The following is a 27,911-nucleotide window of genomic DNA, read 5'->3' on the forward strand; positions in this document are numbered from 1 at the left end:
GCCACGAAGGCACCTGGGGGAGTAGATATATGTTTTTGAGAATGAGAGGAGTAAATCGCTGGACGACCATGAGCAGGAAGAAAATTAGGCCTCCACCTCCCAACCAGTGGCCCTGAGTTGGCAACTTAGACAGCGCGCGCCAGCGCCAGGAGCCCCGCCTTGGGGGCGTGGCCGCGCGCTGGTCGGCTGGGGCGGGGCCTGCTTCTGGCCTCATCTAGCCCCGCCCCAGGCGAGGGCGCCGCACCCACACCGCGCTGCGCAGTTTTGTTCTGCTCCAGCTGTTCGAAGGTGATCCAGGTGAGTGCTAGCACCTGCGGGCAGCCACGAGCACCGGGCCGCCGGGGGCACTTCAGCCTTTGCGCAGGGCACTCCCATATTTCAGCCTATGCGAGCTGAATAGAGACCCGCTGTCTCTAACCTCCCCCCACCCTTATCAGTAAATTAGCGATCTGAATTTCCACCCTCTCTGCTCTCCCCTTGCCTTGCATCTTTTCCCTGGTGGAGTGGGTTGGGAGCGTCTAAGCGAGGCCCGACCTATTTATGTGTAACTCAGGAAAATTCTCAAGGTCAACCCTTCCTCCATTCCTTCCTTTCCTCTCCTGCTGTCCCCGGGCTCTGCAGTCTGGGGGCACCTTTCTGCCTTCCGGAGACCACCCGACCTTGCCCTCTGCTGTTCCGGCGCAGAGGATGGCGAGCCGGACACTGCCGGGGGAGTGGTTGTGCAGGCCTGATCAGTAACACTGGTTTCAGAAGTGGCCTGTGAGCAATGCACCCGCTGCGGTGGGGATGTGTTGCTAGGGACGGTCGGGAGAGCCTCTGAAGGAATTGTGTTTGTTTTCCTCCTGCCTCTTAGAATCGTTTGTCCATTTGTACTGGGAAGGTGGTCATTTCCTACCGCTGACTTAGAGCAAGAGACGCCTCTAGGCGGGTGGGGGACTCTTCAGGTTCTTCCTTGGATTTCAGAAAATGCCCCTTCTTTATGTGGGGTGGCAGCACGGAGCCGTAGGGCTACAGTAGTGGGGCAGTTGCAGGGCGGTGGAAGGCGCTGGAGACTCCTTAGTGAGTCATTCCCCGAAGTTGTGGCTTCTGCTGATACTTTCCTTGAGAGTCACGAGTTTACAAGCTACATAATAGCGTCGGGGGCAAGTAAGTGTGGAAGACGAGGTAAAGGAAAAGCAGATACTAGGATGGGTAGAAGGAGAGGCAGGGGTTAGAACTTTAATTCCTTCCCTGGGGACAGGAGATGCCCTGGAGGGGAAGGCGCTTCCGGCTCTGCAGGTATGTGCTGTTGGGCCTAGGTGTGGTCCTGCGGAATTGCTGCAGATTTTAGATTGCTGGTGGGTAGGAGCTGCAGCGCTTCTCTTGGGAAATCTGTAGATCACCTGGAGCCAGCAGTTCTGGGAGGCACCCCAGGTTATTGGTCAGAGTTACAGGCTATATTTTATTTCAGTGAATTCAGAGAGCACATTGAGTCAGATCAAGAATGTTTATTCTCATAGGAGATGAATTTAAGGAGTTAAAACTAACATATAAAATAGAAACAAATACTTTCATCCCTGGGAAGACTTTCCGTTAAGCTTCCCTCCTGACACAATGTTACGGAAATAGAAAACTTTGTCAAGTGATTTTTTTTAACCAATGTTACTATATATAAATCTGCAGGGAGACTGTCGCCAACTATAGAAACTGCGCTACAGGGGCCTCCTTAGATTAAGGAACAAAACTGGAGAAGGGCAGCCTTCCGCTTTATTTAGATTTCTTCCTGTTGGCTTAGAGTTCTGAAAAGACACAATCCTGGAAGAGATCCTCCTCGCCTGGAGATTAGCACCGAGAAGGAACATACAGGAAAGAAGGGCTTTACCCACTATTCAGAGAAATGCTAAAAAGCCCCTGGAGCAGTCTGGAATGAGGTGGATGTCAAATCAATCTGTCAAAAGCAATTCAGTGCCTACTGCACATCTATCTGTATTTAAACATATTGTGCCCTATGTTTATACTTAAATCTTCTGAATCTATATTTAGAACACCATTACCGACCACAATTGACCATGAACCATCTAGCATTTTAAAGCAATATTTGTTTCGAAGAATATACTGCTACGGTTTTTGCAGCTCAATTTATTAATGCTACTGTAAGCTTACCATCTTCCTGAACAAAAAATTTAGCAGTTAGCAGCAAGTAGATTATCGCTATGTAAAATAAAATTCCTGAGTTTCTGTCACTCGCTCTTACAGTACCTACCTGCCTACCTGCCTCTGAGGAGAAACGCTGTAATTAGGCAACAGGAAAATTGTACTATCTTTCAAATGCATTTGCAAATGCCTTTAAGGATTTTATCCTTTAGAATCATAGATCTTGCTGTTACCTTCTGAGTTATTTCTAGAGTTGATCTGTTCATTAACTGGAACTTGCGTTCTACGATTTAGTTGCCTTATTTCCACCCTTCATTTTTTTTTATTTTTTTAAAGCAAAAATTAATTTTTTTATTTTTTTATTCCACCCTTTAAAAATAAGTAAGTGATATTTTATTTTATAAATAAATGAGCAAGCAATGGGAGCGGTTGTACCACAGCTTCATTCTAAGTGTAGACAGGCATGAAAAGGTCGAACCCCTGTTTCAGGCAAAAGCCAGCAGCCTAGGTGGTTCCTTCCTTTGGGGTGGTTGGTACCCTAACGGGCATTCAGCAGCTGCTACAAATTAACTACAGTCTGCCTGCATTTCTTGTAATAGAAAATTACCAAGTGGTGTCAATGTGACTCATTCGAGATTTTTTTTTTTCCTTCTGGAAGTCATAGCTTAGTTTCTCAATGACTCTTGGTTCCTATGTAATGCCAGTTAAGGGACAGCTATATGACATGATATATAAATGAAGTGCCAGTTTCTGTGTTACTTTGCTCCTTGCAAACCTATATGCCTGAAAGATTGGAGGAAGTTTTTTCCTTCTCGTAATCTCTACTTCTTTTGTCATACTGCAGTGCTGACACTCATTAAAAAGAAAACATTCCTTGTTTGGAACTTTCCCAAAGTTTTTTTTTTTTTTTTTTCTCCTTCCAATTTGAAACATCTCAGGCTTTAGTCAGTGGCAAAATTGAAGTTAATTGTTTGCTCTCTCTTCTTGTTAATGTATTTTGTACTCAGGAGAGGGTCTGGGGACATAGAAATGTTTCAAAAGATGTCAGGTGTGGTCAAACTTGCTTTTCAACCTCATTGAGAGACAATATAGCAAAAGGCTGAGAGCACAAACTGGAGCCAGACTGCTTGGGGGTGTGGGGATCTGGCTGTGCTCTGTGATCGCTGTGTGACCTTGGGCAGGTCACTTAACCTTTCTGGTACTGCGTTTCTTCATCTGCAAAATGGGAGTAATATCATAGGGATGCTGTGAGGATCTAAATGAGTTAATACTGATGAACTAACTGCTTAGAACAAGGTTTGCCCCTTACTAAATACTGTGCACGGTGGTAATAAGTAATAATAATTGATTTCTCCTACTTTTCTTCCTCTAGTCTATATCACTACCCTTCAGACACACTGGACTCTTTTCTCTCCTTCATACAAGTCAAGCCTTTTTCTGTCTCCAAGTCTCTGCTCTTGCTGTTTTCTTTACCTGTGTTCTCTCTCACATATCACTTTATGCTCTTCAGATCCTTTGTCGCAATGTCACCCTTATGTTTTATGGTATGGTCCTGCTGTGTTTTTGTCTTCCCTGACTGCATGCTCACTCGTGCTCTCTCTCAATCATGCGCTCTCTCTCTCTCTCCCTCCCTCCCTCTCTCTCCCTCCCTCTCCCTCCCTCCCTCCCCCCCACTCTCAACTGTGTATTCTAGAGAGTCAGGACCTTCCTTCTCATTCTTGATCATTCTCATAGTAGCCCTGCCCCTTGAGTGGAACATGGCATTTAGTAAAGGATGAATAAGGGAAGGAATCATTCTGAGAAAATACTGAAGATGATAGCTATGGACTTGAGGCAAGCATCCCATTTAGGTAAAATGCTTTGTCCGACATTGAATTTATCATATCAGCTTCATTTAATGCATTATGAGATGTTGTCTTTATTTTTCCTTCTGTATCCCATGGCTTCTCACCATTCCCCTCCCCCTCCACCCCGCCCTCTGAGGTTGCTGCCTGCAGACCATGGGAAACATCCAGTGGGTTGTCCCTGGGATCACATCTCTTGGGAAGCTCAGCTCCAAAGGGTCTAGCAAAGCCCAGGGCTTCTAGGTTAGGTATCTCCCACAGAACCTTCTGTGTCAAGAATCTGGGAAAGTTTGTCCTTATACCTGCAGGGGAACCTGGAATTTATTCTGTCTTGTTATAAATCTAGTATTCTTAGATTCCTGAAGAACAGAATTACCAGTTTTTTCTCAGAGGAGATTTCATCAGGCATGTGTGTTTAGTGCCTTATTACACAGAAGGCACACTCCAGAGAAGAAGAAAGCAGGTAATTTGCTTATTTGGCTTTAACAGAGTTTCAACAGAGTTCGTGTGAGTGCAAGCTTGTGCTCTATAACCAAGAACCATTCACTGGAACTTGAGCATCCTGCTGATCTTCCCTCCCCCACTCCCAGCCAGTGCAGCCATGTATTAAGCAATTGTTTTCAGTACCAACAGTTTACCAAAGTGTTGGAATAAAAACGACATCTAAAACTTGAATATTTTATATGGCCAAACTATGGCTATTTAACTATACAGTTGAATATATTTGGATTATAACATATTTATCTCTTAAAGGGACAGATCTTCCATCCTCCTAACATATAGTTAGCTTCCACTCTCCAAATATTCCACCAGCAACATTGATGAATATTGAAGACTATGGACTGTGAGGTACTGTGAAAGACCCACTCTAGGACCTGCTTGCTGCTATTTGCCTTACTTGAACCAGTAATCAAGTGCTGGATAAATAATATGATTTCTATTCAACTTTTTGTTTTTAGCCCTTAGGGAACAATCTACTGAATATGCAATGCAATTGTCGGGGGATAGTTACTTTTCATTACCTAGGTTTCTGTTCCTTCTTTTAAGTGTAATTTAAATCTGGCTGTCATGAAGGTTTGGCGCTCAAACAGATTTTAGCATCTGTTTAATGTAGAAGTGGACTGGAACTAGCATTCTGAAAATGTAGTCTGAACCCAAAGAAATCCCATGACTCTCCTTTTCTGTCCTATCATAGAAACAGATAATTACATTTTTAAAGTTTTTGTGTGTGGGTGTGTGTGTTGTCATTTTGAGGTGGGGTTTCACCATGTTGCCCAGGCTAGACTCAAACTCCTAGGCTGAAGCAGTCCTCCCACCTCAGCCTCCCAAGTAGCAGGGATTACAGGTGTGCACTACTGCACCCAGCTTAAGTTTTACTTTGTTTCTAATAGATATATAATATTGGATATATTTATGAGATACAGTGTGATGTTTTAGTACGTATATACATTGTGTAATGAGCAAGAGGATTGCGTTTATGGGCCAGGCACGGTGGCTCATGCCTGTAACCCCAGCACTTTGGGAAGCCAAGGTGGGTGGATCACCTGAGGTCAGGAGTTCGAGACCAGTCTGATCAACATGGTAAAAACCCATCTCTACTAAAAATACAAAAATTAACCGGGGCGTGGTAGCACACACCTGTAGTCCCAGCTACTTAGGAGGCTGAGGCAGAAGAATCACTTGAACCTGGGAGGCAGAGGTTGCAGTGAGCTGAGATGGCACCACTGCACTCCACCCTGGCAACACAGTGAGACTCCGTCTCAAAAAAAAAAAAAATTGTTTTTATGTTACTTCCCTCTAGGCTCTTTAATTTCTCCATTGAGCATTGTGTGAGCTCCGCTGAGCATTGTATGGAGGGTCAGCTGCCCTGGCTGGAGATGGTTTTGAGGCTTGTTCCTTCGTGGAAACATCTGGATGCAGAAGTTAGGCTGTACAACTATCCAGGGGAGCTTTAAGTGAGCCAAGTGGACCCTCAGCACCACCTCAGAGTGTTCTAAGCTACCGTCTGGTGTTTGGGACTCAGGGAAGTCCTTTTGGTATGATCAGACTAGCCCTTTATGTGACTATCCTTGTGTGTTACTCTCATTAAAATATTGATTTTTGCCATGTAAGGAAGATTGGAATAGCACAGGCAGCCGAATAAGGATTTTAATGAAACATTGGAGAATGGCTTCAAGTTAATCTGTGAATGCTTTGTCATTGTCCCATCCCTGGACACATTAAAAAGAAAAAAAAGAGCAGTTGAGAAATTGCAGTACAATTTGAGGAGAGCAATATCATACACAGAAGTAGGGACTACTTTTGTCAAAGCTGGATTTTATTTATTTGGGAGCAAAGAGAGAGAGCTGAAAGACATAATCTTCTCTCCCTTAAGAATCTCATTGTCATTTAGTAAAATAAAAGGTAGTGTCACTTCATGGCTCAGAAGTGGTAAATTATTTGAGGCAGGTACCCAAATCCATAAAGCCTGCCTTTTGCTTTGTTTGTGGAATGCTGATTGTGTGCTGGGGAATTTCTGATGGGCAGCCAAGAGGAATTTGGGAAGTAGTGAAGGAGACCTTTACCCCAGGAGTGTTCTATTGGATGTAGTTCAGGAAGCTTTCTGGGTAAGCCTTGCAACCAAAGGAACCCTGCCCCAGTAAGATACGTCAAATGGTGGCAGAAGCAAGAATTAGAGGAAAGGTTGAGCAACATTTTGGTATTTGAATAGCTGTGTTCCCAGGAAACTCTGTCAGTAAAATTTCTAGAGGTTAAGTACCTTAGCCAGATGTCATAATGAACCCCTGTGTTGCTAACTCAAATGCTGGAATGGAGCATGTGTTTTAGGAGTTAGACCAACACTGCCTCATCTTAAGCCCAAGTCTGATCACTCCTAAACTGAAACTTTGCAAATGTGTGTGTTGTAGCTTACTTAAAACCCATTGGGTGTCTGCTAACTCTGGCTACACTGAAAAGTTTTTGCTATTCTACCACCCACGGACGTCAGAGCCCTGCTGCTTACCAGGGCATGTTAGTCTCCTAATCTACCCCTGAAAACCTACCATGGCCCGGGGCTTTTCTGCTACCCCCCACGTCCTATACCCTGCTTGCTTCAAAATACTGTTCCTAGTTTTCTTCCCCTAACTTGATAATGTACTCCAAAACAATCATGTTTGGCAAGTAATACACTGATAAATGTAAAAGTTACAAATAGAAGTGCTGCTGTGTTTTTAAAACATTATAGGGCCAGGAGCAGTGGTTCATGCCTCTTATCCCAGCACTTTGGGAGGCTGAGAGAGGCAAATTGCTTGAGCTCAGGAGTTCGAGACCAGCCTGGCCAACATAGCGAAACCCCGTCTGTACTAAAAATACAAAAAATTAGCTGGGCATGGTGGCACACACCTGTAATATCAGCTACTTTGAGGCAGAAGGATTGCTTGAGTCCAGAGGTCAAGCCTGCAGTGAGCCCTGATTGTGCCACTTCCACTCCAGCCCGGATGACAGAGGGGGACCCTGTCTCAAAACAAAAACAAAACAAAACAAAAACCCAGCCAGGTACGGTGGCTCACACCTGTAATCCCAGCACTTTCGGAGGCCAAGGAGGGTGGATCACTTGAGGTCAGGAGTTCAAGACCAGCCTGGCCAACATGGCGAAACCCTGTCTCTACTAAAATACAACAATTAGCTGGGCATGGTGGTGCATGTCTGTAATCTCAGCTACTTAGGAGGCTGAGGCAGGAGAATCACTTGAACCCAGGAGGTGGAGGTTGCAGTGAGCCAAGATCGTGCCACTGCACTCTGCCACTCACTCTAGCCTGTGGGACAGAGAGAGACTCCGTCTTAAAAAAAAAAAAAAACCCACATTCTAGAAATAATTAGGTTTCTAAAGTATTCTTAAAAGGGGCATCTGTGGAAACCAGCCACTAATAACATATTTAAAGGAGAGAGACTGAATGCTTCCCCCTAAGATGAGGAAAGAGGCAAGGATGTCGGCACTTGCCACTGGTATTCAACATTGCATTGCCCCTAACCAGGACAATCAGTCAAGAAAAAAAAATAAATAAAAGACATCCACATTGGAAAGGAAGAAGTAAAACTGTCTCTCTTTGCAGATGGTATGATCCTCTATGTAAAGTATTCCAACGATCGTGGATCTGTCTCTCCCTCCCCTATGCTCTTGGGCCCTGGCTCTGTTTCTCTCCTGGAGTAGAAGCCTGTGGTGCAGCAGGATTCAATTGCCTTCAATTGAACGTTGCAGAGGACTTTCCCCTCGGTGCTTCCCGTACTGGGGGAAGAGGTGATTTAACTTCTGAGTAAGGGACAAACCCAGTAGTGTGTTAGTAGCAAAAAGCATGGACACTGGCATCAGTCTGCCTGTATTCAGACACCAGCTGTGCACTCATCAGCTGTGGGACCTTAGGCAAATTGTTGAATTTCTCTTTGCCTCCATTTCCTCATCCATAGAATGGGGATAATAATAGTAACTATCATATGGGATTGTTGTAAGGATGGAAAGTGTTAAAATATCTAAACTCTGTTACAGTGCCTGCCATAAAAGAAGCACTCTAGGCCTGGCGCGGTGGCCCATGCTTGTAATCCCAGCACTTTGGGAGGCTGAGGCAGGTGGACTGCTTGAGGTCAGGAGTTCGAGACCAGCCTGGCCAACATGGCGAAACCCCATCTCTACTAAAAATACAAAAATTAGCTGGGTGTAGTGACATGTGCCTGTGATCCCAGCTACTCTGGAGGTTGAGGCATGAGAATTGCTTGAACCCGGGAGGCAGAGGCTGCAGTGAGCTGAGATAGCACCCCTACACTCCAGCCTTGGTGACAGAGCAAGACCCTGTCTCAAAACAAAACAAAACAAAAGAAGCACTCTATGGGACCAGGTCTTATAGTTAGGTATTATATATGTAGTAGTGATATTTTCAGTTTTGCTGTTTCTGCCAGATGGGATGAAAAATTCCATGAGAAGTTGGCTGGAAGTCCTACTGATTCATTAAATAGGCCTTTCATTTGAAGTCATGTTTCTAATCATTCAGAAGTTGAGGTATGCCTGATCCATGGTATTAGAAGGGATGATCCCAGAGAGGTCATTCTGTAGCATAATGAGCATTACTTTTGAAGGATGGAGAACCTAGAACTCTGACTCATTTGACTATGGGAAAATCTGATCTGGTGAGTGACCATGACCATGAAGTGAGATCTGGTAACCCAATGGTGGTCACAGGATAGAGACTCTGAAGATACTGAGCTGGCTTACACACTTGCTTTGTTGTCTCGAACCTCTGTTAAAGCTGAAAGAAGAAGTCAGTCTTCTGCTGGGCACACTGTTAGTGTGTAATTGTGAAGAGCTTAGCTGGAGCTTGCTCTTCACAACAGTCTCTGATCTCATCAGCCCCATTCTGTTTTCAGGGGTGGTACAGAAGGAGCACCTCAGGAGCCTCCAAAGATAGTAGTAGAATATAACCACCAAGACAAGACTGTGACTGTGGTTTTGAATCAGATAGAATCACCACCTCCTGCAAATTTTGTTTTTGCTCAGAACAGTGGTTCTTAAAATGTGGTCCTTGACCAACATCATCAGCATTACCTAGGAACTAGTTAGATATGATAATACTCAGGCCCCACCTAACATGACTGAACCAGAAACTCTGGGACTGAGGTATGTTTTAACAAACTCTCCAGGTGATTTTAATGCCACCAAAGTTTGAGAACCACTGATCTAGGATATAGAACAGCAGCATTCTACTGAGTTTCTGTCTTCATGCAAGTTGCTATAAAAAATATAAGCAAGGAGACACGCTCTCTGTCCTCAAAGAGCACATAGTCCATCTAGAGAGGTATACTATATTCAATGCCACACAAAGGAGGCCTTCCCAGCCGGGATCCTGATGCAACAGCCCTGCCCAGTCTCTATGCCATTGCCGTGTGTTTTCCCCAGAAGAGTTCCCATTCTTGGCCAGGTGCCTGTAATCCTAGCACTCTGGGAGGCTGAGGCAGGTGGATCACCTGAGGTCAGGAGTTCGAGACCAGCCTGGCCTACGTGGTGAAACCCCGTCTCTACTAAAAATACAAAAATGAGCCTGGTGTGATGGTGGGCACCTATAATCCCTGCTACTCGGGAGGCTGAGGAAGGAGAATCACTTGAACCCAGGGGGCGGAGGTTGCAGTGAGCCTAGATCGTGCCACTTCACTCTAGCCTGGGGGGAAGAGCAAAACTTTGTCTCAAAACAAAAAAAGAGTTCCCACTCCCTGAAGCTGTTTTTTGTTTGCATGTTTGTTGTCAGTCTCCTGTCATCATTCGAAGGTCAGGGCCTTGAGGGCAGGACCCTTTCTTGTTCACTGCTGCATCCCCACCCCTCAGCAGTTCCTGGCATAGACAGCAAGTGCTTTATATATTCTGGTTGAATAAATGAATTAAGTGTTCTTTGATTCATTATGCTGTCTACGGTAGGAAACTCTATTTTGCAATCTAATTAGACCAGCCTTTTGCCAAATTTGAATTATTTTAAACAAAATCAGAACTATTGTGTAAGAGCATACAACTGATTTGTAGAAAAACCAGTATATCCTCATTTAGGAACTGTTGCATATGTGGACAGACATGTACAGTTACCAGTATTTATTTCTTCATATTTGGACCAACATTTATTGTTTATACCAGGTACATATCTAGTTTATCTAATTTAATTCTTCAAACCACACTGTGATATAAATGGGTAGTATTTTCCCTGTTTTGTAGAGAAATTAGATACATCCTAAAGCTTGCAGGGGCTATGTATGAATACAGGTCTGTCTGACTCCTCAATTCCTGCTATCTCTAGTCTTGTAGATTTCCCACAGGAAAAGATGAATCATAAAACAGTATTGAAGTCCACTAGGAGTAAAAACATTTAGGATCTCTACCCTTAAATAAGTGACAAAAACTTTCTAATTTAAAAAAATAGATAATTCAAATTTCTTTTAAACCTTTAATGTTCTCTTGACTGATCTATTTTGACTTAAGACTGCCAACAAACAGTTAACTAGGAGCAGCTACCTCTGCAATTGCTAATAAGGAAAGTAAGAATAGAAACTCTTTCATCCTATTTCTGTCTTTCCCTACCCATTTATTTTGTTTTTGTTTTATTGTGTTATACCTAGTTTGTGATTATTGCTAGGAAGGGAAAAATCTGGAATTGGGTACTTGTTTACTTATTTGCCTGTGTCCCCTGCTAGAAAATGAGTTTCATAAAGAACCAACCTCTGGCTGTTCCCTGTTCGTCTCCAGCACTAGCCCAGTGAGTGGCACATAGTGGGCACTCAGTAAGCCTGAATAAGTAAATGAATGCACGATCACCCTCATGCAGTGCTGAGCAGTGTCTGGCTGCAGCAAGAGTTTGAATGACTGCAGCTTCCGGATGTCCATAGTCAGTGCTAAAATCCTGCTTCCTTCTGGCTGCTTCTGCCTTTCACATGATAGCATATATTTTAACATGGCTGGCTGCTGAGAGTTCAGAAAAGGAAGAGGATATATGTGGTTCTAAACTTTGCTATTTTAAAATGGCAGTTATAAATTCTAAAATGTATATTCATTATCATTTAGCCAAACATCCCCGTTGAGTCAGGTCAAGGACAGTTAACCAAACATTAGCATATGTAACGTAACATAATATATAACATTTACTGAGTCCTTCCTATGTGTCAGGCATCATGATGAATGTTTATAGACAGTATGTCCATCTAATCCTCTCAACAACCTTCCAAGGTTATATTAGTATCTCCATTTAACAAGTGAGGAAACTGAGGTGCTGAAAGGTGTTAAGTAATATTCCCAAGGACACTCAACTAGGAAATATGAGAACCAGGTTCTGAATGCAGACAATTTGATTCCAAAACTGCATTCAACTGCAAAGCTGTCTCGTGAACTGCACTTAGCAGATAAGTGGTGGTACTCAAGCCAGAAGTCAGGTCTGATCTTTCGGTTCCATCATTCCATACTGCCTGTTCCTCTGTCTTCTCAATGAATAATGATTGTCAAGCCACTCTAAGTTTTTTTAGATATGTATTTGCTCATTTTGGAAATTACAGAAAATTACAAAGAAAAATCTATAATCTAGCCATCTAGAAATAACTATGCTTATGATTTTAATACTTTCTTAATTTTTTTCTATTATTAAGAAAACCAAGATTATTCTACATATACTTTTATTTTCTTTTTTCCCCACTCAACCTGCTGTATATTGAGCCTGTTTTAACCTCTTTAATATTTGTACACACCATTTTTAACAGTTGTATAATGTTCTATTTAACGGGTATATTATTTATTTAACTGGCCCTCTATTATTGGACATATGTAGTATTTCTGGTTTTGCCATCATAAATATTGCTGAAGTAAATATCTTTGAACCAAATTTGTTTGCATTTCTGATTGTTACCTCAGGATAGATTTCTAGTAGGATTAATGAGCCAAAGAATATTAATATTAAAAAGAATATTACTGGCCAGGTGCTGTGGCTCATGCTTGTATTCCCAGCATTTTGGGAGGCTGAGATGGGAGGATCACTAGAGCCCAGGAGTTCGAGACCAGCCTAAGAAACATAGGAAGATCCTATCTCTTAAAAAAAAAAAAAAGAAAAAATATACATAGGCTGGGCGTGATGGCTAACACCTGTAATCCCAGTACTTTGAGAGGCTGAGGCAGCCGTATCAGTTGAGGCCAGGAGTTTGAGACCAGCCTGGCCAACATGGCAAAACCCCCATCTCTACTAAAAAATAAAAAAATTAGCCGGGTGTTGTGGCGGGCGCCTGTGATCCCAGCTATTTGGGAGGATGAGGCATGAGAATTGATTGAATCTGGGAGGCAGAGGTTGCAGTTAGCTGAGATTGTGCCACTGCAGTCCAGCCTGGGCGACAGAGCGAGACTGTCTCAAAATAAATAAAATAAAATAAAAAAATTTTAAAAATACAGAAATTAGCTGGGCATGTCAATGTGTGCCTGCAGCCCCAGCTACTTGGGAGGCTGAGTTGGGAGGATCACCTGAGCCCAGAAGGTCAAGGCTGCAGTGAGCTGTGATAGCACCACCATACTCCAGCCTTGGCAACAGAGACCCTGTGTTAAAAAAAAAAAAAAAAAATTACCTATTGCCAGGCTGTCCTCTAGATGGTTCTATCTTATACTTCCCTCAACAGTGTAGAAGAGGGAAAACTAGGTACTTTTAACTACAGTTATGTGTTCACTCATGATGGAGATATGTTCTGAGAAATGTGTTAGGTGATTTTGTCATTGTGAGAATATCGTACAGTGTACTTACACAAACCTAGACAGTATAACCTACTACACACCCAGGCTATATAGTCTAGCCTATTGCTTCTAGGCTGCAAACATGTACAGCATGTTACTGTACTGAATACCATAGGCAATTGTAACATAGTGGTATGTATTTGTGTGTCTAAAGATATCTAAAAACTTAGAAAAGATCCAGTAACAATATGGTATAAAAGACAAAAAATGGTACACCTGTAGAAGGCACTTACCATGAATGGAGCCTGCAGGACTGGAAGTTGCTCTGGATGAGTCAGTGAGTGAGTGGTGAGTGTGAAGGCCTAGGGCATTTCTGTACACTGCTGCAGACCTTACGTACACTGTATACTTAGGCTACACTACATTCATTTTTTAATATTTTATCTTCAATAATAAGTTAAACTAGATTACTGAAGCTTTTTTACTATAATTTTTAAACTTTTGAATCTTTTGTGACAATACTTAGCTTAAAACACTAATACATTGTAACTGCATAAAAATTGTTTCTTTGTTTTTTGTTTTCTTTTGTTTTTTTCTTGAGACAGAGTCTTGCTGGGTCTCCCAGCCTGGAGTGCAGTGGTGCAATCTCGGCTCACTGCAACCTCCACCTCCCGGATTCAAGCAGTTCTCCTGCCTCAGCCTCCCGAGCAGCTGGGATTACAGGCACTCATCACCTCGCCCAGCTAATTTTTTTATATTTTTAGTAGAAACAGGGTTTCACCATGTTGGCCAGGCTGGTTTTGAACTCCTGACCTCAAGTGATCTGCTTGCCCTGGCGTCCCAAAGTGCTGGGATTACAGGTGTGAGCCACCATGCCCGGCCAAAAATTGTTTCTTCATATCCTTATTCTATAAGATTTTTTTTTCTATGTTTTAAATACTTTTTTTATTTTTAAAGAAGCAACACCATTCAGTTCAGAACACCCATACTGACTTTGAGCTGATGGCCTTTGTAGGTTTCTAACTGGAAGTGAAATTTTTTCTATTTTTAAAACTTTCTTTTTATTTCATAGTTACTTTTTAAGCTTTTTTTGTTAAAAATTAAGACACAAACACACACCTTATCCTAGGCCTATACAGGGTCAGGATCATCAGTATCCGTCTTCTGCCTCCACATCTTGCCCCAGTGGAAGGTCACATGGACACACCTGCCATGTGTGGAGCTGTCCTCTCCTATGGTAACAAGGCCTTCTGGAATACCTCAGGGAGGACCTGCTTGCACCTGTTTTACAGTTAACATTTTTTTTTAATAAGTAGAAGGAATACACTATAATGCTAAAAAGTATAGTATAGTAACTACATAAACCAGTAACTGTCACTTATGATCATTATCAAGTGTTATGTGCTGTACATAATTATACATGCTATACTTTTATATGACTGGCAGCGCAGTAGGTTTGTTTACACCAGCATCACCACAAACATGTGGATGATACAGTGTACTACGATGTTACAATGGCACAGTGGCTATGATGTCACTAAGCAATAGGAATGTTTCAGCTCCATTACAGTCTTATGGGGCCATTGTTAAATATGCAGTCCATCACTGAAACGCATGGCTGCATGTGGTAGAAGGTTTCAATTCATAAATATTAATTTATACTGCTGGTTTATGACTAACCCAGGAAACTGCATAATGATTAACAAATGCTACGATATAACCAAGTGAATTGCAAAGTCATCTACACCTGTATTAAAGTTCAGCTCAGAAAGGACTGTTTGGACTGTGTGTATCTAGCACTACGTAGAAGAGAAAGTCAAGGGCAAAGTTCCCACTCTCAAGAACTTTATCTTGTTGGGTTCATGAAAGGGTTTCTGGTGACACAGAGTAGGTATATAATCAGCAAAATGTGGTCTGCGGTTCAAATGAGTGCTCATGCCAGAGATTGGTTGGGTGCCAGCTATCAGTTCTTCCACCCTGTCCCTGGAAGCTATCTGCTACCTCTGGGGCTGGCACAACCCAGGGTGTGGCTGCGACTGCCTAGGGTGTGGCCACTGTGAACTGAGCTGCATCCCCTTCCTGGTGCACACCCGCACACACAAAAGTCACTCTCTAAGGAGTGGGAATATCTATCTCTTCGCCTTGGAATCTTCAGAAAATAATGATGTAGCAAATGATAGTTTTTTTGAATGTTGATTTAATTAAGCTGATTCTTTCTTTGAAAGAGAAGATTTAATGATTTTTCACTCCCTATTGCATTTATGTTTTCCACAACTACGACAAGAGTTTTCTCTGTGTTCTGAATTCTTCTTTCTTAAGATTTCTCTTTCTGGATTAGTCATAAACCAGTCTTTCTTAAATACATTCAGTTTCTTCCCTGGTTTCAATAGATATTGAGGGAAGAAACGGAAACCTGAATTGGTTAGATGCATACTTTATACCAGACACTGTGCCAGATGATAGAGATTATTTCAGGTGTGTATTCAGGGGACGGGGTGCGTGGTGGTGGTCATTCTGAAAGACACCTGCAGTTGCAGCTCAAATCATTTATTCCGTAAGTATCTATGAGCGTGCACACTGTGCTTGACATGGAAGATGCCAGACAAACGTGGTCCTGCTCTGTTTTAAGTGAAGGTTGTTATGGTGTATAAAGCAGGACACCTCACTTGGTAGGAGTGCAAGGAGGTATCAGGGAGGGCTGTTCTGCTGCCCTTCTCGCAGGCAGCTTTTCAGGCATTGCTCCTGCACCTATGCAGACGTGTCCATGGCTCGTGCGGGGGACCCTCAGGGAGAACAGTCACGCTGCTGCCCCAGGCACTTGCACTGTCCCTATGACTGAGTATGCATCCTCTGCAAACCACTGCTGTAGCATCAGACTCTGGGTACCCTTACTGTGAATTCACTGCCTTTCCAAGGTCCTAACTGTTGCTGGCTCTGCTTGTCATCATCCAGATTCATAACGCCATACATACCTTAACAAAGTGTGAGGAGAGTAACTTTCACTAGGGTGCAAATGCCCATCAAGTTTAACCTCACAGATTGCATTTATACTTTAAAAGAGGAGCTCAGTAGTAAATATTAATTTGTAATTATAGATTCTAACTGTGGATTGTAGAGCAGTTGCTTTGCTGTGACAGGCATCTATGCAAGAGGCACTTCTCTTATCTTGCCATCTACCTACCCTAGCCTCTTAAAATTAAGAAAAATAGAAGTCAGTGACTAAGCCACCAAATTTGAATGTGTTACCTGGGCTAGCTGGAGTGTTTTGGGGGAGAATTCTAAAACCTGCTCTGGTCTTAGCTCTGCCCTCATTTACTGAGCCTCTATTTCCTTTTCTATAAAGTGGAGCTAATAGGAGTTTTGTGAAGAGTAAAAGTGAGCTGAAAAGTGCTGGGCTGACACAAGGTAGCCCTGCACATAGCCAGGGAGCCCAGCATCCTGTCCAAAGATTAGAGTCTGAAAGCTCACTCTACTGATTTGCAAACTTTAACCTAAAGCAAATATGCTTAATTTTATTGTCCTTACATTTATTGCTTCTGAGAGACACCTTTTTTTTTTTTTAAGGCAAGGTCTTGCTCTGTTGCCCCATGCTGCAGTGAGGTGGTGCAATCATAGCTCACTACAGCCTCAGCCTCCTGGGCTCAGGTGATCCTCCCACTTCAGCCTCCTGAGTAGACATGAGAGTCTCCCTGTGTGGCCCAGGCTGCCTGGCCTCAAGTGTTCCTTCCACCTTGGCCTCCCAAATTGTTGGGACTGTAGGTGTGAGCCACCATGCTTAGGTGGCAGCTTTATTTTAAATGACCTGTTTGCCCCAGATGTGTTGAATTTAAGGATAGGCTGGAGGTTCAGTCATTTTTATTTATTTTCAAAGAGGTGTTCAGAATTCACACTCTGTTTTTCTTTTAATAACTACTGTGGCTTCCTCCTCATGCTGACTTTCTACACTTGGGAAGAGAATGTGGGCAAGGAAGCTTGGAGGGAAGCCAGAGACTCCTTGCTCTCTGCAGCTGCACAGACAGGCCAGGATCTGCTGACCTGTGGAACCAGCCCGCTGCAGTGTGTGCCCCCCAGCCCCCGGAGGGGCAGCGGGCATGCCTCAGAGAGCAGCTCAGAGTGAAGACGGTAGAAGGGGAAAACTGATGAGAATTATTGTGAATCATGGTGGGGAGGAGGGGTTTTAAGAAGTTAGGCCTGTTAGGCTGGGTGCGGTGGCTCACACCTGTAATCCCAGCACTTTGGGAGGCCGAGGTGGGTGGATCATCTGAGCTCAGGAGTTCAAGAATAGCCTGGCCAACATGGCAAAACCTCGTTTCTACTAAAAATACAAAAATTAGCTGGGTGTGGTGGTGCGCATCTGTAATCCCAGCTACTTGGGAGGCTGAGGCAGGAGAATCACTTGAACCCGGGAGATGGAGGTTGCAGTGAGCCGAGATCGTGCCACTGCACTCCAGCCCGGGCGACAAGAGTGAAACTCCATCTCAAAAAAAAAAAAGCAGTTAGGCCTATTTTGCTGTGCTAAGAGAAACTTACTTTTAATGAACTGAGCTGCATGCCTATCCCAAATTCTGTTTTAAGGAAGATGCTCTGACCACAGTGTCAGTTTGGCTCTAAAGTTTCAAGGGATACTGAAAGGGAATATTGGAACCAAATGAATCTGAATGGGAATCCCAGGTCTGTCACTGTCTGTTTTAGACCTTGGAAACATTACTTAACCTCTTTTGAAAATAAGGATTTACCATCTTGTTGGTTGGTTTGTTAGGATGATTAGATACATTCCAGATCAGGGTAACTCTCCTAGGTTAAAAGCAGGGACTGAAGCCAGGCAATTACCAGGGATGGAAATTTTAAAGCTGACGGCAGAACACACACCAGAGCTGCTGGCTCGTGGAAGCCTTTGAAGTGATGATTTGATGGGCAATCTGAGTTCCTCAGGAGCTGCCCAAAGCCTCATAGGCTCAGGAGCCATGCTCTGCTTTCAGAGTACTCAACCTGGGCCTTCCCCTACCTGTGTGAGATGTCTGCTGCTGCACCCGCACGTGCCCCAGGATCGAAGGGAGGCCTCAGAGTCCTGCCCTCACAGTGTCCCCCATGTCTGAAGGCAAAAAACTTGGAATCACTGTGCATATACTATTTTGGATGCTCGCTTTCTTGCTTTCTCACTTTCTTGCTTTCTCTCTCTCTCTCTCTCCCTCTCCTCCCTCCCCACTCCCTCTCTCTCCCTCTCCATCCCTCTCCCCACCATGTCCTGCTCCTCTCACTCCCTCCCTCCCCCTCCCTATGTAATGTATACTTTAGCATTTTACCATGTTAAATATTTTTTCAATAATGTGATTTTTGTTGGCTATATTATTCTACAGCAACGACTACTGCAGTGGTGTAGATAAATCTCATAATGTTGATCAGAATCTCCCAGGCACAAAAGAGAAAAAAAGATACATGACTGTATACTTTTCTGTGTATAGACTGCATAGTTGAGTAATTTTTAAATTATTTTATATGGTACTGTCTTTGATGACTTCTCAGAAACATCAGATTGATTCATACCTTTTTTTGGTCTCTATTTACTCATTTGCCAGTAATAAAGCATCTTGCTCCCTAAGGCTTCACACCATGAAATAGCCACAGTGCTGGGGGCCGTCCCAACGTGTTCTTTCTTCCACAGACGCAAGATGGCTGTCCTCTCTAAGGAATATGGTTTTGTGCTTCTAACTGGTGCTGCCAGCTTTATAATGGTGGCCCACCTAGCCATCAATGTTTCCAAGGCCCGCAAGAAGTACAAAGTGGAGGTAAGTGGGAACACAAGCTGGTGCCCTTGTAGGCTTGTCTGGGGGCCACAGGCTTAGCCAAGAACTTATTTTCAGCCATGGAGGGAGAGGCAAGGAGCTAGTTGTGAGAAGTGGCAGTTTCAGGACTGTGTTAGCGATTCTGCTTCTTCATGGTAGGAAAGAGGCAAGAAATACAGGGCCCTGCTAGGGAGTAGTTTCCATCTTGTTTGACTTTGTCTCTTCGGTAGAAAGACCAGGAATGCTGGGATTCCAATAGTACACTTCTGCTTGGAGCTATTTGCTAGGAAGAGAGTTACTGTATTTTCCACAGAGGGTTAAATAGCAATATTGTTTCATGGTGTGCCACTTTAAAAATGATGTCTTATGGTGATTTTCCTGTTTTCCAAGTAGAAAAGAGGTATGTGGTGTTGAGATTAGCCTGGACTTAGACATAGGAAGGTGGTCTATTAAACACTTCCTTTAGTTTTAGGTGATCTAGAAGGGATAATTACCAAAGTTGTCCCTGGTGAGTGGTTTTAAATGTCTGTTTCTGTTTAGCAACTTAATAATTAAACTCCCTTACTAGAGCTTCTTTTAAGTTTTTATATTTAGTTTCTTCTTTTTTTTCCCTTCCAGTGGACACTTCCATTAAGATTCTCACACACTCAATTTCTGTTCTTCTATTAAGGGAAATCTTAAAAGGATGTGGTATTTGATGACTCTTAGGAAGGCTCTATTTCCCTACAGTATCTTTGTAATGCATCTGAAATCCACCATTGATGCTTAACGTCAATGAAAAGCACGGAGTTTGGCGCAAAGCTGCCTCTTTCCCTTGTGCAACTACAGCGCAGACATACATTCTTATTCCTGGATATTTAATAGAAACATTGACTCTGCTTCTGAGAATTGAGACCCTTGTCACCATAAATATTTAAGCAGAAATTGAATGGTCATCTATCAAGGGTGTGAAAGAAGATACTTTGGAATATATTGTTTTTAAGGTTCATTTTAACTTTCAACACTGAATGCTCCTCTTGACCATCTGATCAGTATGTGCTTTGTTGTGACAGTATCCTATCATGTACAGCACGGACCCTGAAAATGGGCACATCTTCAACTGCATTCAGCGAGCCCACCAGAACACGTGAGTGTCGGCCCTGCCGGGCACCAAAGACATCTGCAGAGTGGGTGTTTTCTGTCTAACACCTCAGCCCTTAGTGCGCTGTATTTGCTGAGTCATAGTGATGGTGACAATCATGGGCACCTCATTAAAAGTATTCAAAAATTATGTATGTGAACACATTGACTATTAAGCAAACTTAAGAGTGGTTGGAATGGTGGGATTTCGGGATATTCTTTTCAAAAAATGTCTTCATGGTTGCATTACCTACTACAGTTTTGCAGCATGACCCATCTAAACCGATGTTGACTCTCCCAGGCCTAGGGAGTGAAGAGGTTTTGAATGCTGTAAGGAAACCCACTCTGACTCACCAGGACCTTCCACTTCCATTTGTTAGATGTGAGGTCCTTTTACTCAGCATGTTCCAAGTGACCTCTAATCCCATGCAGAGCAAAGGAGGGTGGATGATAGTGACCAGGTCTTCTCCCTGCGGTGAATGTTTATTTTTACCCCCAAGCTTCTAACTTGGCAAGGAAGATGTAAAGATTCATAGTGCTGGCTGGGTGAGGTGGGCTCACACCTGTAATCCCAGCACTTTGGGAGGCCGAGGTGGGTGGATCACTTGAGGTCAGGAGTTGGAGACAAGCTTGGTCAACATGGCAAAACCCCATCTCTACAAAACTTAGCCAGGCATGGTGGCACGCACCTGTAATCCCAGCTACTCAGGAAGCTGAGGCATGAGAATTACTTGAACCCGGGAGGCGGAGGTTGCAGTGAGCTGAGATCATGCCACTGCATTCCAGCCTGGGTGACAGAGACACTCCGTCTCAAAAAAAAAAAAAAAAAAATTCATAATTCTACACAGGCATACTTAAAAAGGGCACTTTTTAAAAGTTTCTTTCTGTCAATTCCAGGTTGGAAGTGTATCCTCCCTTCTTATTTTTTCTAGCTGTTGGAGGTGTTTACCACCCGGTAAGTTTTCCAGGAGGTGTTCATCTATTTGGATAGTAGTTCACTGAGCTATTATCAGGGACAGAAGAAGGAAATAAACATTTAATGAATATCTTCAGTGTCTAGGCACTGCATATTTAAAAGGATTTTATTCAATTATTTCTTACAGAGTTCTTTAAAGGAGATGGGATTTTCCTCATATTTTACAGATAAGGAAAAGCCTCTCATATACTATTTAAACTTCACAAGGTCAAATAGCTACAGAGTAGAAGGATTAGAATTTGAACTCAGGTCTGTCTGGTTCTAAGTTTCATGTCTATAAGAGTTCATTTGTTATAGTAATTCATTCACACAACAAACTTTCACTCACCACCTGGGGTAAAGCAGTGATCAAAGCAGACAAAGACCCCTGGTTTCATAGAGCTTGCCTTTTTGTTGTGGGGTGTGGGGTGGTCACAGAGAAGAAGCAACCTAAGTAAATTACATCATGTGTTAGGAGGTGGTGAGTGCAGAGAAGAAAACAAAGTGGGGAAGGTGGAAAGGGGATGTGGAGTGGGATAATTTTGAATAGGGTGGTCAGGGAGGGGGGCTTTGCTGAGATGATAGTTAAGCAAGTATAAAAGGAGGTGAGGGAGCAGGTGCTGCACGAGTTTCCCCAACCTCCAGCCAGAAGACAAGCAAGGCCTGAGGCAGGCACCTGTCTGGTTTGTTTGGTGAGCAGTGAGAAGCCAATGGAGCCAGGAGAGGGGCAGCAACAGAGGGCAGAGGGGTGATGAGGCAGGTCACTGGGGACTTGCAGGCCTCTGCAGTATAGATAGCCCTGTGGGATGGAGATTTAGTCTGCACTTAAACATATCTAAATAAAGCAAGTTTATCAGCCTCTAATTAATTGCCATTTGGGTCTTGTCTTAGACAGAAGTGTTCCCCTTTTCTGAGGACAGATTATCTCCTGAAACCAAGTTCTGACCAGAGTGGCCCTTCAGACTTCTGGTTCTAAGCCTTTCCTAACCATCTGGTTCATCCTGAATGCCTTGTACTTTTGTTAAAAAGCTGCCAGAATGGCATATCTACTGCTTATGACCTTGAAGGCCTGCATTTTTTTCAAAGAAACATCTACTGCTCTTGTATCTCTTAGAAAATGTATCTTTCTGGTGCCTCTAAAGATCCCCATTCCTAGCAAGTGACTAGACTAGCTGATCTGAATAGCTCAGGTCTCTAGATTAGTCCTCATTTGGTGTCCCCACTCCATCCCCATTCCTATCACACATCCCTGGATCCCATTCCTTATGGGTAGTTCTGAAAAATAAGAGCTAGTTTGGGGACAAGCACCTAACAATTGTTCCTAGGTTGCCAGTCATTAGGCAACATTATAGTAAAGAAGGGCCTGGCAGAGACTAGAGCTGCTATATCGTGACTTGAGGGACTGGTGTTATTTTCATTTGTTTCACCCTCCTGTTGACATTTAATGTTACCCAAAATCAACTCAAACAAACAAAAACCCTGATGCAGTAACCTTATCCCTAACAGTAGCACTGCTGAGTGGGAAAGACACTGGGGAAGGCGGCCTTCTCACATGCTGTCTTCTGTGTTCTCTCCTTGCTTATTTTAACCAAGGAAGTCACCCCAGCATGACAGCCAAAGGGATGGATTTTTCATCTAAGTTTTTATTCTCTCTTCTCAAGGACATTGGGAACAGGGAGACTTTTCCCTCGAAGACCATGTATTCTGGGAGAAGCGCTCCCCTTCTTTCTAGTGGAGCTACACCCCCAGTGTAGCCTGCAGAACCACCTGAGCCCAGCCCTGCCAGTGACTGACTTCACATAGAACAGCAGCTGAGTCTTCAGTCAATCTCATGCTCAGAGGCCCATTTGAGAAAACGGCATTTCCCCTAGTCCTGACTTTGGGGCAGTTCTCTTTTCTGGCCTGCCCTGAGACCGGCTGGCCCACATGTCCTTCTCTTGAGCTCTGACACAAGTTCCCCAAGATGCCCAGGGCAAGTGGGGGGATTCCTTCTATCCCACCTGTCTAGGAGAAGGCCAATACTCATCTCCCAGGTCCACAAGCCAAGCCATTCATAGAAGAATCACAGATATTTTATTTTCCCGCTGAAACTAACTTAATTCTACCTAATTTGCGTGGGGAGTAGTTGGCCAAATCATCAAATTGTTAACTTTTTGCTAACATATTGTGTAATCAACCCTAGGTGTTAAAAAAGGTTTGCTTGTTTCTTTCATGCAAATACTAATGTAGCCCTTTTTTCTTAGCGTATAGCTTCTGGCCTGGGCTTGGCCTGGATTGTTGGACGAGTTCTTTATGCTTATGGCTATTACACGGGAGGTTAGTATATATTGACATTTGCCAAGGAAACAACTTTAAAATTTTAAATCCTATGCTGGCCAGGCACAGTGGCTTACACCTGTAATCCCAGCACTTTGGGAGGCGAAGGCAGGCAGATTGCTTGAGCTCAGGAGTTGGATACCAGCCTGGGCAACATGGTGAAACCCTGTCTCTACAAAAAATACAAAAATTAGCCGGATGTGGTGGTGCACACCTGTAGTCCCAGCTACTTGGGAGGCTGAGGCGGGAGGATTGCTTCAGCCCAGAAGTTTCAGGCTGCTGTGAACCATGATTACACTACTACACTCCAGCCTGGGAGACAGAGCAAGATCCTATCTCAAAAAAAAATAAAATCTTATGCTACTATATTTTTTTTCTTGGGAATTTGAGAAAAGGGGAAGTCACCTGATATTTAGGTGAAAGGTCTGTTTTCTTTTTATTAATCTTTCAATTGTAACGAAACTTATTTTTATTGAGCATTTTCTATGTGCCAACCACTACTCTAAGAACTTTGCATATGTTATTTAACCTTACAACAATTCTGTAATACAGATATTATTGCATTTTACAAATTAGGAAACTGGGACTCAGCATGATTAAAGCTGTAGGTCACAGAGCTACTAAGCGTAAACTAGTAAACTAGGAATCAAACCCATGCAGTCCGACTCCAGAGCCTCACCATTACTATACCTCCTATATCTGAGTAAGGAGGAGGAAAAGCCATTTTTAGCTGTACTTCTTTGAAACAGAGGGAACTCCTTCCAAAGGTCCTAGAGCAAAGTTGCTGTAATTATTATCCCATAATTTTCTAAGATCCAAGCAATACTACTGTGGCACGTTACTTGGCATGTGGTATCTGACTTGCCAACAGCTTCAGGCTAAAGAGTTAGTTAACCTCCTAAGGCCAGTTTGTCTAATGTACAACCTCAGATGCGATGATAGAATGGCTTGCGAATGTTGAAAGCATCATAATTCTGGAGCACTCCTGGTAACTTCTGTTCTTTCTTCTTTTTCAGAACCCAGCAAGCGTAGTCGAGGAGCCCTGGGGTCCATCGCCCTCCTGGGCTTGGTGGGCACAACTGTGTGCTCTGCTTTCCAGCATCTTGGTTGGGTTAAAAGTGGCTTGGGCAGTGGACCCAAATGCTGCCATTAAAGAATTATAGGGGTTTAAAAACTCTCATTCATTTTAAATGACTTACCTTTATTTCCAGTTACATTTTTTTTCTAAATATAATAAAAACTTACCTGGCATCAGCCTCATACCTAAAACTCCTGACTCTTACCACTCATTTCCGTTTGAGTCTGTATCTGAAATCAGTAGCCTAGTCCTACTAGATGAGAAAGGAGCCACAAGTATTGTGCCCTCTCCTCACCCTTCCAGCAGATGCTTCTGTAGTATGTGAGGTTGAGAAAAAGTCTGATTGTGGTGATGTAGGTATAGTCATGCCACAGTGATGAAAAATTAAAGAAAAATCTTCTAGCTCTCAGGATATGCATTATCACTTGCTACAGATACTCCAAGGCCAAAGGAATGCTTGAGCCTAAAAGTTCAAGACCAGCCTGGGCAACATAGCAAAACCCCATCTCTACAAAAAAATATACAACAGTTAGCCAGGCATGATGGCACATGTCTGCAGTCCCAGCTACTTGGGAGGCTAAGGTGGGAGGATCACTTGAGCCCAGGGTGTCAAGGCTGCAGTGAGTTATGATCACACTGCTGCACTCCAGCGTGGGTGACAGAGCAAGACCCTGTCTCAAATAAATAAAAATTAAGTTTCTATTAAAGATTGTTTCTGTTGCTTAAAAACTGAAGCAATAGACTAAATGTAAGATGAAGGTTAACAGAGATGAATGTAACTTGCTACATTTAGAAACAAAGATCTGATTGCCTACGTACAAATGAGGAAGACTTAGAAGATTTCAGTTGGTTTAGAGAACACTGCCAAGTTGGCAGAATGAGATAGTTACTCCAAAACACTGATGTGGCCATAAACTACCTTAATAGGAAATATAGTGTCTAGACCTGCGCTGCCCAATTGGCCACATGTGGCCATCTAAATTTAAATTAATTTAAATAAAAAAGCAGTTCTTCAGTTGCACTACCCATTTTTCAAATGCTCAATAGCCTGTGAGGATGAGAGACAGTATTTGAACCCAGTCCTGACTCTAAAATCCATGCATTTTCCATTGTACCAGTTTATTGCTTAAGCTCCGAAGATGAAGCATTTAAGGATAGAATGCCATGGCCAGCCATTGAAGATGGTCAGCCTTGGCCAAATGGCCACCTGGAGCCCTTGGGGCATTTGATGAGGAGGCTGGACCAGTTTAGCACACACTCCAGTGTTAGTTCATGAGAAAGTTTCACCAGTGGAGAGCAAAATAAGGAAAATGAGGGACTGTTTTTCATAAAGCTTTGACTTGTACTTTTTACATTAAAATGTTCTTTATGAAATGATGGTGACGATGAATGGTAGGGATTTTTGGTCCTGGCTTGAAAAAATGATATAATTGAGAATTTACAATAAGACAGGGTTTTGGTTTTTGCTTCATAAGAAACACATCTAGAGAGGCCAGAGAACTTGCCGAGGTTTCCTTTCTCACTGCAGAGAACAGCAGGCATCAGTGAAGCAGGGCAGGGAAGACCTGGAGATGAAGCTGGCTTTTCACCTTTAAAAGTCTTAACAGGGTGTACTTTTCAAACTACAGATGGTCCCCAACTTATGACAGTTCAACTTAACAATTTTTCAACATTACGATGGTGCAAAAGCAAGACTCAGGCTGAGCATGGTGGCTCATGGCTGTAATCCCAGCTCTTTGGGAGGCTGAGGCGGGCAGATCACCTGAGGTCAGGAGTTCGAGACTAACCTGGCCAAAATGATGAAACCCCATCTCTACTAAAGATACAAAAATTAGCTGGGTATGGTGGTGCATGCCTGTAATCCCAGCTACTTGGGAGGCTGAGTCAGGGGAATCGCTTGAACCCAGGAGGCGGAACATGTAGTGAGCCGAGATCACACCACTGCACTCCAGTGTGAGTGACAGAGCAAGACTGTCTCAAAAAAAAAAAAAAAAAAAAGCAATATTCATTCAGTAGAAATCGTACTTTGAGTACCAATACAATCATTCTGTTTTTGACTTTCAGTATTCAATAAGTCATATGAGATATTCAACACTTCATTATAAAAGAGGCTTTGTGTCAGATGGTTTTGCTCAACTGTCGGCTAATGTAAGTGTTCGGAGCATGTTTAAGGTCACTAGGCTAAGCTATGATGTTCAGTAGGTTAGGTGTATGAAATGCAATTTCAACTTACAATATTTTCAACGTGTGCTGGGTTTCTCAGGATGTAGCCCCATCATAAGTTGAGCATCCGTAATGTGATCCCAGTTTGTCATTTTGCTATTGCGCACTGGGTTCAGATGGAGTTTTGTAAGGAAGCTCGGTACATAAAGGGCGCTGTGGTTGAAGTGCAGAACCGAGAGCTCTGCCTTTCAGTGCCCTACTTCCCCACTCACTGCACTTCCAGGGAACCCTAGGGCTTGGCAGAATCCAGTTGGTAAAGACTGCTTAGAGAATAACTCTTACAAGCTAGTCCCTTGTCTTGTGGAGAAAAACTTGGCATAAGTATTTCTACCATTAACTATTTAATACTAATCTGTTGGCAGTGTACATTCCAAAGAGTCCATTTATTTGTATAAGGGAAACACATTCTGAATTTTGCTAGATGAAAATCAGACAGCCATACCAGCCTATAAATGCCTAATTGATCCATAGTGAACCTTAAGTATTCCCACCTTCAGGTGCCTGTGTGCCCTTGGGCAAGCTTATTAGCCTCCCTAAGCCTCAGCTTACACAGCTGTAAGTTGGGAATATGAAAATACTTTTATCATATAAAGTTCATGAGGATCAAACAATAATGCATGCACAGTGCCTACCAGGGGTCTTGTAGCCACACAAATTGTGGTAGGAAGCACGAGAGCCAACTGCTGATGTAGCTTGTTCAGCAAAAGTCAGCAACCGGGTTATCTTCTTTATGTTCTAAGGACCCACAGAGTTTGCCCAGCTTTCTATTTCATCCCTAATAGCACTCGCCTCCAAAGGTGCTCTCCTAACTTAATAAAAAACTGAGTAGTCTCAGTTCCTTCCCTCTTAAGCAGCACTATCCAACAGAACCTTCTGACATGATGGAAATATTCTGTCTGCACTGTCCAATAAAGTATAACCCCTACCCATGTGTGGCTGAGCTGAATGTGGCTACAGCAACTGATGAGTTGAATTTTTAATTAATTTAAATGTAAGTATATACATATGGCTAAGGCTACTATACTTGGATAGCACAGCTCTTAAAGCAGCAGTTTTCAACCTTGGCTGTCTGTTAAGCTCATCTGGGTGCCTTTTAGGAGTCCAGGCCGGGTGCGGTGGTTCATGCCTGTAATCTCAGCACTTTGGGAGGCTGAGGCAGGTGGATCACCTGAGGTCAGGAGTTCCAGACCAGCCTGACGAACATAGAAAAACCTTGTCTCTACTAAAAATACAAAATATACAAAATTAGCTGGGT

General features: G+C 43.2%; 1 protein-coding gene across 2 annotated transcripts, besides 6 other annotated features; it reads left to right on the top strand.

Annotated features, from left to right (window-relative positions):
- Positions 73-312: a silencer, noted in NCBI's record as "silent region_1500". NCBI's record gives its function as "represses an Ori minimal core promoter by ATAC-STARR-seq in GM12878 lymphoblastoid cells {active_cell/tissue: GM12878}" and the evidence as "EXISTENCE:reporter gene assay evidence [ECO:0000049][PMID:35858748]".
- Positions 238-25,140, top strand: MGST3 (microsomal glutathione S-transferase 3). 2 transcript variants are annotated; one of them, XM_047421030.1, is made up of 7 exons: positions 238-297; positions 1,235-1,278; positions 18,845-18,968; positions 20,018-20,091; positions 20,982-21,039; positions 23,283-23,355; positions 24,372-25,140. In XM_047421030.1, exons 2-7 carry the CDS (start codon positions 1,244-1,246, stop codon positions 24,506-24,508), a joined length of 501 nt encoding a protein of 166 aa, XP_047276986.1. In that variant the 5' UTR covers positions 238-297; positions 1,235-1,243; the 3' UTR covers positions 24,509-25,140. The 2 variants fall into 2 exon arrangements, with proteins under 2 accessions (XP_047276986.1, NP_004519.1); NM_004528.4 differs by lacking the exon at positions 1,235-1,278.
- Positions 743-912: an enhancer, noted in NCBI's record as "active region_2016". NCBI's record gives its function as "activates an Ori minimal core promoter by ATAC-STARR-seq in GM12878 lymphoblastoid cells {active_cell/tissue: GM12878}" and the evidence as "EXISTENCE:reporter gene assay evidence [ECO:0000049][PMID:35858748]".
- Positions 4,576-4,625: an enhancer, noted in NCBI's record as "active region_2017". NCBI's record gives its function as "activates an Ori minimal core promoter by ATAC-STARR-seq in GM12878 lymphoblastoid cells {active_cell/tissue: GM12878}" and the evidence as "EXISTENCE:reporter gene assay evidence [ECO:0000049][PMID:35858748]".
- Positions 5,206-5,295: an enhancer, noted in NCBI's record as "active region_2018". NCBI's record gives its function as "activates an Ori minimal core promoter by ATAC-STARR-seq in GM12878 lymphoblastoid cells {active_cell/tissue: GM12878}" and the evidence as "EXISTENCE:reporter gene assay evidence [ECO:0000049][PMID:35858748]".
- Positions 19,418-20,617: an enhancer, noted in NCBI's record as "MED14-independent group 3 enhancer chr1:165619651-165620850 (GRCh37/hg19 assembly coordinates)". NCBI's record gives its function as "activates an origin of replication core promoter dependent on BRD2, BRD4, P300/CBP and CDK7 cofactors, and independent of MED14, by STARR-seq in HCT116 cells {active_cell/tissue: HCT116}" and the evidence as "EXISTENCE:reporter gene assay evidence [ECO:0000049][PMID:35650434]".
- Positions 26,070-26,236: a silencer, noted in NCBI's record as "fragment chr1:165626303-165626469 (GRCh37/hg19 assembly coordinates)". NCBI's record gives its function as "represses an EF-1alpha promoter that drives an FKBP-Casp9 reporter gene in an ReSE screen in phorbol 12-myristate 13-acetate-treated (for megakaryocytic differentiation) K562 erythroleukemia cells {active_cell/tissue: K562(+PMA)}" and the evidence as "EXISTENCE:reporter gene assay evidence [ECO:0000049][PMID:32094911]".

Source organism: Homo sapiens, chromosome 1, assembly GCF_000001405.40.
Source record: "Homo sapiens chromosome 1, GRCh38.p14 Primary Assembly".
In the NCBI taxonomy this organism is placed as follows: Eukaryota; Metazoa; Chordata; class Mammalia; order Primates; family Hominidae; genus Homo; species Homo sapiens.

Coding starts and splice junctions, on each gene's coding strand:
- MGST3 (XM_047421030.1), top strand. CDS start 1,244: ATGCCCTGGAGGGGAAGGCGCTTCCGGCTCTGCAG. Junction 18,969..20,017: donor GCAAGAAGTACAAAGTGGAG/GTAAGTGGGAAC, acceptor TTGTTGTGACAG/TATCCTATCATGTACAGCAC. Junction 20,092..20,981: donor CAGCGAGCCCACCAGAACAC/GTGAGTGTCGGC, acceptor TGTCAATTCCAG/GTTGGAAGTGTATCCTCCCT.